General features: G+C 41.1%; 1 long non-coding RNA gene across 2 annotated transcripts; it reads left to right on the top strand.

The window, feature by feature from the left end:
• Positions 1-273: 273 nt before the first annotated feature.
• Positions 274-8593, top strand: LOC107984886 (uncharacterized). 2 transcript variants are annotated; one of them, XR_001752175.1, is made up of 4 exons: positions 274-1183; positions 2479-2589; positions 4776-4866; positions 5160-8593. It is a non-coding gene; the product is annotated as an uncharacterized LOC107984886 (long non-coding RNA). The 2 variants fall into 2 exon arrangements; XR_001752173.1 differs by having other exon boundaries at positions 2479-4866.
• Positions 8594-11424: the final 2831 nt, after the last annotated feature.

Below are 11424 nucleotides of genomic sequence, written 5' to 3' on the forward strand. Positions count from 1 at the left end.
TTTTTGAGGGAGTGCATGGTCTTGGTGAGAGAAGGGAGCAAAAAACTGATAGGGGCTGGGCACAGTGGCTCACCCCTGTAATCTCAGTACTTCTAGAGGCCGAGGCGGGTGGATCATTTGAAGTCAGGAGTTCAAGACCAGCCTGCCAACATGGTGAAACCCCATCTCTACAAAAAATACAAAAATTTGCTGGGCATGGTGGCATGCACCTGTAATCCCAGCTACTCAGGAGAATTGCTTGAACCTGAGACGTGGGGGTTGCAGTGAGCCGAGATCACACCATTGCACTCCAGCCTTGGTGACTGAGTGAGACTCCAACCCTCCCCCCACTGCAAAAAAAAACCTGATAGGAACAGGACTATATGACCACAATATGGTAAAGAATCTGAATTACAATGTCCATCATTCATATTTTTTTAAGTAAAACATTCTTTTTAACATAATCTCATACCACCTTTACTTTACCATCATCTATATAAGCAGTCCATTATGGCATGCATCCTTTGCCCATGCCAACTTGAAACTCCTTTTGGACATAGACTGTATGTATCTGAATTAATATTGTATTCCCACTTAGGAAGGTGCCTGGCACACCATAGGTGTTCAGTAAGATTCAACTGAATTCAAGTAGGCAGGTCAAACACTCATGGGGTCATTAATTTGTCCAGATGGACATTCAATTCTGCAGAAGTGTCAGAGATACCCAAATTTTGCTTCCATAGTTTTATTAAATATAAACTAAATGTACAAGCAAGGAGGAAAGGTTAGTTTACAAATTTTGCTTCTGGAACTCAAGGACTCTGAAAAATAGTACTTAGTTAACTTTCAGTCCTCCAGAGAAGATTTTTTTTGGAAAATAATGCCAAAGGGATCTTGTGGCACACAGCCTTCTAACATGACTCCCAGAAATCCGCATCTCCTGGTGTTCATGCCATTGTGTAATTCCCTTCCATTGAGTGGGGACTGGATTTAGTGACTTACTTCCGATAAGTAGAATACAGCAGATGTGATGTGATACTACTCCTGAGCTTTGGTTATAAAAGATTATCATTTCTATCTTTCTGGCATCCCCTCTCTGGCTCTTATGGTGTGCTTGCCCTAAAGGAGAGGGCCATTGGCAAGGAACTGAGGTGGCCTTCGATCAACAGCCCACAAGGAATGGAATCCTGCCAATAACAATCAAGTAAGTGGGCTTGGAAGTAGATCTTGCCCCTGTCAAGCTTTCAGATGAGGCTGAAACCTCAGTCAGTACCTAGATTGCAAGCTTGTGAGAGACCTTGACACAAAGGACCCAGCTAAATTGTGCCCAGACTTCTAATTCATGAGCACTGTGAGACAATAAATGTTGTTGTTTTAAGTCACTAAGTTTTGGGGTAATTTTCCAGGCAGTGATAGAAAATAAATTCAGCTCTAATAAAGCACTGATAAGATGCACATGAGATTTACTAACCTCTGAAATAGGGAAGACTCACCCATGTAAGCTGCAAGGGTTTAATCTCCTTTCATCCATTTATAATTCATGCTTGGAAGTGCCTGACATCTGGGGCACAGCACGTTTACTTCCAAATAAGTAGAATCCTCATGTTGGTACTACCCTCAACATCTCTATGCACCTCTGTATTTTCTATAACTGGTCAGGGAGACCGATAAAATCCCTGCTGCTTGAAAAAGTAAGTCACAATAAAATACCATGTTGAATATACCCCTTCAAAGCACTAATGGACATCTTAAGAGGAAAAATCTTTGTGGGAATGGAGGCTCCTGCATGTGTATGCGTGTGTGTGTGCATGCACATGTCTGTGAGATGTATGTGTGAATCTCTGTGTGCCTGAGAAGTGAGAAGAAGAATGACTCTATCTGTGCACTTCTATGTTTTTCAAACACATTCAGTCTGCCTTCCAACTGCCCTTCCTGCCAGATGTTGACATGTAAATTTTGGCTTCAAAAATGAGAAGGCCAAGCTGATCCAAACAAATTTAGCTCAATGAGCCAGAGTCAAATTACCCAAAGGTTAGAAGTGACCCCTTATCCAGAGAGATCCAAGCACTGCACTACTATTTGCTACAGGGCTGCCCAGGGAGCTAGTCTAACATGCATTTCTGGCATTGGTATTGTTTCAATTACTAGACCATTCACATCTCAGCTGACACATGCAATGAAGCTTGCTCCTTGCCTGGTACATAATTTAAGGTAAAAAGAAAAGAGGGTGTGTTTCATCATGGTCTATCATATCTTTGTCTTTTGTTCTGGGAGGTATTTGCATACCTAAAGGGAAATGGCCTCTTTAATTTCTTTCCCTTCTCCTAATCAGCTGAGGCCTATTAAGAAGTGCTCTGTATCCTGTAATCAGACAATTTATACAGCATGCACCCTTAGGCAACAGCTATTATAAACAAGCTGGAGAAATCCTTTACAATAAATGATTAGCATGGGAAGACACCATTCATAATTAATTTTTTTTTCTGTTTTTGTTGGCAGATGGTCCGAGGCATCCAAGCATGGCCTATTGCCTGTGTCTTTATTCTGAACAGAACAGGGCAGCCTTGGGAAAATGCTGGCTGCTCAGCTAGCTCACTTAAAAAAAATCACGTAAGCACTCCCTCTGCTCCTCTTATTGGTGTTCAAGGCTTGAAGAGAGCTTTAGGGAAGGGTGTCTAATGGATCACATGACTGTACCTACTGGTCCTTTTCCTGCCTTGTTAATTACAAGGTGTTATGATCTTCACCACAGATTGATTACATAAAGGGGATCATTTCTTCATCCCCACCATTTGCCATGTAACTTTGTCATGCCCTGTATCTCTGACTCTGGCCTCTGTCATTGACTTGCTGTGCCAATGTTAGCAAATGTGAAGCACACACAGGCTTGAATAGCACTGTGCAACGGGACTTGTTAACACTTACCTTCTACTGTTGCTACATGAACATGCCCAGGCTAGCCTGATGGATGATGAGAGACATGTGGAATAGAGCAGAGTCACCACATTCATCTCAGCTGAGACCTTTCTAGATGGGTCAACAGCCCTCTACCCCCAGACGTGTGAGCCAGCCCAGCCAAGATCAGCCAAGTCCAACCTGAATAATTGAACACTGAGGTCTTGTTGCAGAATAAAAGTGTATTATTGTAACCCACAGTGGCTTTATGATTTTTAATTATGCAGCAGTATTGTGGCAGCAGATAATTGATACAGCCCTCAAATGGATAATCTCTTTGGGTATGGAGAAACAGGATTTGGAAACCCATAAGTGTAAGCCTTCATATATGGGTAGAACAGGTTTCTTGCTCACAAGAGACACCAACTTAAATTGAAAAGAAAGTGGTTTTGGACTAGTGCTAGGTACTGGTGCATAAACCCATGTATATACGCACAGGCTCTTGAGGGGTCAGTGAAAGAAGCTGCTGAAATGTCACTCGTAGAATGGGCTTCAAACAGGAGTGGGATTTTCTCACCTTCATCTAACTCCCTGCTGTTCTTTAATGCAACTCTCCTAAGCCCCCAGCATCCAGGTGTTCCTTTTGCCATTTATGATGCTGCTTCTCTCCTACTTTGGGATACCCTCCCTCTTTTCTGTTCATCATTATCCCCCTGATGCTAACCCATTGAATGGCTCTATTTTCCTCTTCTCTGCAGTACTTTTAGGTTTTCAGCATCTGTGTTACATGCACTAGGCTTTGGTTTTATATGATTACACATCAGACTGCAACTATTCTACATCTAATCCCTTAATTAATCTATAAGCTCCTGAGAGGAAAGCTATGGTACTAAATGCTTTCACAGCGTAAGGCCAAAGTAAATGCTTTTGGCACTAAGTAAAGGTTTCACATATATTCATGCCTTGATTGAGGTGGAACAGGAGACCTACTAGTGATATTTAATAGAATGCTACCAATTTCTTCTGTCTGACTGAAAGGCTCATAGATTCTAAGCCATTCCTTTCCAGAAACATCTTTAAGAACCATGCTGCAATTGCTTGTTGATCAAGGCTTGTCTAACTATGGTCCTGCTTGAAGGCAGAGAAGCCATTTCTATTCATCCAACCAACCATTCAATAAATAGTTAATAGGTTCCTTCTATGTAGAGGAGATCTCTATTATGTAAGGATAAGTGATAGAAGAGAAAGACTTGAGTATAAATCCACTGAAAATCAAGGACCAAAATTTTATAAGAGTGAATAAAGTAAAATGATCTCATTGGGTCTGCATATTGATTAAAATGAAACAAATAATTTATTTTACCTTATATTTAGCAAAATATAGACTATAAACACAACAATTTGTTAACTCTGAGAATGAACAAAGAATGAATCAAAGGATGAGATTTTGGCATATTTTTTGACATCCCTTACCTAACCATTGATCTTTATTGAAATTTTAAAAAGTCATGTTAATTACCCTGACTTGATTATTACACGTGGTATATATGTTTCAAATTATCCCATGATACCCTGTAAATGTGTACAATTATGTATCAATTTAAAATAATAAAAGACAAGTGATTTTTTGGAGTGAAAATATTTGAGAACTTCCTCAGTTTCCCCAAAGACTTCTATTAACCCTTTAATATTTAAATCACTAATGAAAACCCTTTTCCTGACATTTATTGTTGATTTTTTTCTTCTTTCATTGTTGTGTTCAATGAAACACATTTATTTGTTGTATTTGTTGGTAGTTTTGTGTGTGTTCCCTCCCAGTGGCCTCTACTATCCTTTTCATCAACTTTGTGGAATCTGTGAATTAACTTTGCCTGGGGCTTACTTTGTATTTTGCATTTTAGCTGAAGACTTCCTCCAAATGGTTCATAACTGATAGGAGGGGATGGTTGCTAGTGTTAAGCAAGACGGGACAAAGGAGTGGAGACTGAACTTGTAAGTTGCTAGAATATTACTTTGGAATATTTTGAGATTTTGATGTTTATGAGGTTCCCTATGAAACTTTGTAACTGCATGCACTTAGACAATAAAAACCTGAATGACAAGATCCCAATATAAGGCTAATTGATTAGGAACTATGAGGGAGGTAAATACTAAATCTGAAGTCAGGACATCTGGGTTGTAGCCTCCATCAAGTCAAGAGTCTTGTGTTCAAGCCAGTTCCCTCACTTTTCTTTTCTATCATGAAAAGCCTCTAGCTCCCCTGACTACTTTTTATGTTCTTTCAGCAATCAGATAAACCCAATATTTAAACTGTAAGGTCCTTGGCTATGGAAGGTGACTGGAGAACCATTGATCCCTGCATTTTATAGGAAAAGCAAGGGCCCATTGGAACCTGTTGCTGTTGGTAAGAGTCTTGCTATTGGTAAGAGACTTGCTATTGGTAAGAGACTTTCTCTTGTGTCTGGCTGTGGAACTCCTCTAATAGAGTGTTTGAGATTCCAGATTTGGCTTCTTGGCACCCTTTTGTGTGACCAGGAAGGAATGCCTCCTTCATACCCTGTCTTTTGTCGCCTCTTCTGAGAGGCACAGACTCTTGGCTATAACTTAACCTTCTCTTTCTTGGCAAGTGATTGTCCTGCTGTCACTTGGGCTTCTATAGCCAGCAGTATTATAGAAAGGTTCAGTTTTAGCTGCTTCTGGCATTTCTAAGTGGTAATAAAATAGGCCCTCTAAGACCCCAGGCAAACGTCTAAAGTGCGGCATCCAAAATAAAAAATAAAAACCCTTTTCTTTGACAGATTCAACTCTTGTTTTAAAGCCCCTAGACTGTTATATTCCTAAGAGAAGTTCCTCTCTCTTATCATCTCTGCCAATATAATAGCAGGAAAGAAAATCTGTGCTCTCTTCACTCCAGGACAGTTACGACCTATTGGAGAACTTTGTCTTAGGGGTTCCTTGGGGAGAACAGTATGATCCTTTGCAAACACCAATCAGAAGAGGAAGACCTTACATTTTAAAAGCTTTGTATAGCTTATCTCATTTTATTCTTATAATGATTTTATGATATATGTAGTGTATGATTGGTTTATATTTGGTTGGAAGTGACATAAAACCTGATTCAAAATAGATCAGGCAAACGTGAATTTGTATGTAGAAATGGCTTCAGTCTGAAATGATCCAATCTCAGGTTCAGATTCATCGTATTTTTGGGTGGCTCTGTTCTACAAGTTCCTCTCTTTGTAGCAAATAGCTATACTAGTTCAAAGCATCACATCTTCATAGAACCAAGCCAAGCCCTCTTTTATCCAGCCTGGAGTTTACTTCTACTGGATTGCGCCAGTGGTGTGCTTGTCCCTTAAGCTGATTGTGTAGATTTCTTCCTGGCTTCAAGTTCAAGGATGTCATGTTGGTAGCTCAACATCAGCCATAGTGGGAATATTTAGGCCATAGAAATTGGCAATTGCTGAAAATAAGGCTTTTATTATTTACAGAGCCAGTTGTCAAACATTTGTCAGCACACCTGTTTGTACCCAACTTTTAAGATTTACCAGAAAAATGGGCTTATGCCATTCATAGGTGGCTTAGGTACTAGAAGTGAAGTTCAATCTCAATCAAATTACACATCTAAAAAGGAGGTAAGATGGTGACCCAAAATATATTCAGGGCACTCTTACCAAGGAAGAGGGGTAATGGATGCTAGCCCTAAACAACAGATACTTTATTTTCCACAGAAGGAAAAAATGCTGGCTCTGTATTTTCGATGAAGCAGCTGAGACTCAAGTGCTACTCAGGCTTTCAGTGGAGGAAGTGCTAGATCTGACACTAGAACCCAATTCTTCTGCATGTCAGTTTCATTGTTCTTTCTTCTACACACTTCACTATTCTTACCTGACCTCTCCAGGGTCTGCCTAACATGGAGATTGCCAAGCCTGGGGATGATATGAGTCATTTCCTACAAAATCCTTTACCAAGTGATATCCAAACAGCATTGGGATATCACTGCTGAATGGTGGCATTTCTCTGCCTGCATTTCTTTACTGACATTGAATTCAGACTAACTTCCCCTCTCTTTTTCTTTTTTGGCAGGCTCTCTTTACAAGGTGAATTTAGACATATGAGCACTCCAGGAGGAGATCTGATTTGACAAACATGTCTAGAAAGAGGAAAAGCAAGCACTGGCATTAACTTGGCTTCCACTGAGACTAGGCTCCATTAGTGAACTAAATGTTGGTATTCTGGGAAAAGCCAGCTTGTTACTGGAAATTTTAATTCTTTGAAAAAAATGGCATTAGATTTGCCTTTGGTTGTTGCATTCCAAGAGCTCTTGCCTATGAAACCTTTCTTGATCATAGAGTGCAGCAAGTCTACCAGAATGTTCAATTTATCTGCTACCAGTCATCATTTCTTGCCCTGGCAGACATTGCTAATCAATCTGATGCTGACTCAGCTCACATTTAAACTAAGATTTCCTGAGATGATTCTGTATGCAACCACTACCAACTGATGAGTGCTGACATGAATATGAAACCTGTTTGAACTCCTTGTGCTTTTATGGTGTGTACTTTACAATGAACTCTGATCTATTCACTACCATTGAGTTTTAGTGGCATTTGATAATGTTGCACTTGATTATATTGTTATAGTATCCTCTTTTTTGATTCAAATCTGTTAAAAATTGTTTATCTCCAAAACGTTTAAGTACCTAGGGCACTTGGACTGTGTTTTATACTACTTTGTGACCTTCCCAGTGTCAAGATGGGTACAGACTAGATGCTCAATAAATATTTGGGTGATTAATTACCTAAGGAATTAGGATTAATCACCTAAAGGATTCTTTGGTTGATAAACCTAAGGAATTCAATAGAATGGAAGTCTAGGAAAAACTTTGCTTGCATGGAACTATCAAAGTAAAGCTTTGGACTGTGAATAATTCAGTCAACCTGCAAGCCTCGATTATCTGCTCCGAGTTTGTGAAGACCATTGCTGTTGTCCCCGAGGTGTATTGATAAGTTAACATGATCGTAACTCTCAAGATGTTTATGGTTCAGTACCAGGAGCAAGAGAGATAAGTGTGATCATCAGAATTGTAGAAATATAAAAGTGGTGCAGAGGAGAAAGACTGAGATGAATGAAGTTGACAAGGATAACAGGTTGAACACTCCATAGTGGAAAGAGGCAGTGAGATGGGAAATTATTCCATAAAGCTTCCTTCAAAGAGTGTCAGCAAGATGCAATGCCAATGGAATAGAAAAATCTTTAGAATCACAGTGTCATATTTGAGGGACCTTTGACTTTACATGAAATTACCACTGCATGAGTACAGCAACACTTTAATCTTGGATATTCCTTTATTATTTATTCATCCAACCTAGCTTGCATAAATATTTCCTTGGGCTTTTTTGTTTTTCCATGTTTGTTGGCACTGATTTTTCAGCAAAGGAGCCTCTTAGACTGAATGTGCTGTTAAACTGTGGCCTCCTAGGCCTAACCCACTTGATAGCCTGCAGTTTGTGATGGTACCTCTGCTGCCCACTCCAACCACATCCCCTTCTTCTACCTGCCTGATCCACCCAGATCCCCTCTGATTAATTATTCACACCTATATATCTTCAACTTCCATTAGGACCTCCCTCACGTTGTGGTGCTTCTTTACCCGCAAAATGCAGAGCCCTGGCCGGGTGCGGTGGCTCACGCCTGTAATCCCAGCACTTAGGGAGGCCGAGGTGGGCGGATCACGAGGTCAGGAGATGGAGACCATCCTGGCTAACATGGTGAAACCCCGTCTCTACTAAAAATACAAATAATTAGCTGGGAGTGGTGGCGGGCGCCTGTAGTCCCAGCTACTCGGGAGGCTGAGGCAAGAGAATGGCGTTAACCCAGGAGGCGGAGCTTGCAGTGAGCCGAGAATGAGCCACTTTGATCCAGTAGGAATGCAGGCCGAGGGCTTCCCCTACAGGGTCTTACTGAAGCTGGGACTTTACCTGAAGTCACAGCCTGGCTTAAGTTCCTCCCCTTCCCTGTCCTGCTTCTTCCACTTTTCTGATAGTTTCTACTGGGAGCGATTCCTTAACCATCACTTATATACAATCATCTTGCCAGCTCAAGAGGCTCCAGCCTAAGTGGTGTTTCTTACAGTATTGTCTATTATAAGAAGCTAGGAGGCTTCTTATAATGGCAGGCTCTAAGTCCCCACCTCAGACCTTTTAAAACAGAATCTTGGGGGAGGTGGGGCAGGCCAGAGAATCTGCCATTTATTAACAAGACCCCCAAGTTAGCTTTTATTTTTTCTTAAATATAAGATGTTGATTAATAAATATTAAATTTTAATTAATAATTAACTTTCTTAAGGTTTTGCTTAATAAAAACTAAAGTTTTACTTATGGGGCAGTGACATTTAAAGCAAGTATACATCAAGTATTTGGGGATGAGGATTAATGAGGTAGGTTATAAATAATACCTCAGTTGGCCTTGCCTCAGGGTCTATTAAATGATTGAATGATCTGAATCTAGAGGTAATGCTGGCCGGGCATGGTGGCTCACACCTGTCATTCCAACACTTTGAGAGACAGAGGCAAGGGGATCGCTTGAGCCCAAAAGTTCAAGAGACCAGTCCAGGCAACATAGCAAGAACCCATCTCTATTTTTTTTTTAAATGTCGATGTTCTGTGTTGATGGCATTTTGTGTATGTGTGTGCCTGCGTATGTAATGTCTGGACAAATCTTAGAAACACTATTTTCCCCCCCTCAACAGTAATTTTTTTTCCTCAGAAAATTTACTCTGGAAGCCAAATTCAGTGGTTTTCTATATTATTTTACTTTTTAAAATATTTTAATCAATGAAACACTTTAATTGAGTTTAGGTAGAAGTTCAATGTGTAGTGTGGACAAGCGCTGAGCTGTTCCACCTGATGGAGGTGGAGAGACTGGGATCCTGCCTGCTTCAATTCCTTCCCATTCTCTGATCAGAGCTACTTCCACTAACTCCTATTAGTTATTGAAAGGAGATTAATTGCCCTGTTATCTCAAGGATCTCCTAGAGCTCTTGCTGAGTGGAAGAGAAAAAGATAGATGAGCACTTTTTTTTCTAGGTTGCAGGCTTGGTACTTTGAGGGACTCAACTTTTTGGCAATGGAAAATGATATCCACTTGTTTGACCTAGCTACAAATGTATTGAATTATTATTATTATTATTATTTGAGACACAGTCTCACTTTGTCACCCAGGCTAGAGTGCAGTGGTGTGATCTCAGCTCACTGCAACCTCCGCCTCCTGGGTTCAAGTGAATCTCCTGCCTCAGCCTCCTGAGTAGCTGGGATTACAGGCGTGTACCACCACGCCAGGCTAATGTTTGTATTTTTAGTATAGATGGGGTTTCACCATGGTGGTCAGGCTGGTTTCAAACTCCTGACCTCAAGTGATCCACCAGCCTCCTAAAGTGCTGGGATTACAGACGTGTGAGGGGTCTAGAAATGACCCTTCTTGGACTCTCAGCCCCCAGGTTTTAGTGGGAGCCTGGATTTTAGCTTCCAGAGCCTGGAAGAACTTTACTAACCAGGTCTAGGCCTGAACCTTGGCTTTATTCACCTTGTGACTTATTGCAGGTTGTAAAAAAGGAAGAAGTCACTTAGCATCCCTAAGACATGGGGGCTGGTGGTGGGAATAGATTACTCTAGAAGGAGTTTAAGCTTAAAAATAGGAGGGAGAAGAAAAGAGTGTGGGGACCATTTCTCCTAAAGTGCTGGGATTACAGACATGAGCCACTGCACCAGCCCAGTATTCAACTATTCTTGAAGTGTCTGCATACAATTTTCTTTTTCTGGTGCAGGAGAACATTCAGTAGCTAGCAGAGAACCTAGCCCTGAGATTTGTATGAAAATTGTTGAATGGGTTCAATGGGACTCAGCAGAGTCCATCCCAAGCCACCTGAATAACGAAGGTGGATCTTACTTGTATCAAAGCAGCTGATCTCAGAGCCTCCAGCCCGTGGTTTCAGGTCAGTTAGCTGTTTTTATGATGCCCTAGTGGGATATGCCTCTGTCCATTCCTCTCATTCTTTACCCTGCCTTCTGCTTCAGGGAAAAGTCACACTGGGTCGGCTCCAAAGAGTGTCCCTGCTGATTCACTGTGGCTTTCTCTGATCATTAGCCAAACCAGGGACCTTTCCCTTGCCACTAAGCTGCTGGAAGTTCAGATGTGCTGAATTTTACCCAATGGCTTCATGCTTGAAACAAAAAAGCAATCAACCGAGGCACTTGGGGATGAAGGCACAGTGTCTCTCTCCGCTAACTCAGTAAAGGGACTACTGTCACTAGGGAGATGGTGATGAAGTCAGGCCTCAGGAAGCAGGTACTGGATCCAAGGCAAATCTCTGGATCTCAGGAAAAGAATTTAGGGGATCTTTCTTGGGATCCTTGGATACTCTACCCACTAGGTCTGTGCTTTTTCTGGCCTCTCCCCCTCTATTCCTGGCTTCCTTTCTTCCTACTCTATATGTGTGCCTTTGCTTGGTTTTATACCTTCTGTTGCTCATAGTCTCCACTTCCTTGTAAA

Source organism: Homo sapiens, chromosome 16 (assembly GCF_000001405.40).
Source record: "Homo sapiens chromosome 16, GRCh38.p14 Primary Assembly".
NCBI classification, from domain to species: Eukaryota; Metazoa; Chordata; class Mammalia; order Primates; family Hominidae; genus Homo; species Homo sapiens.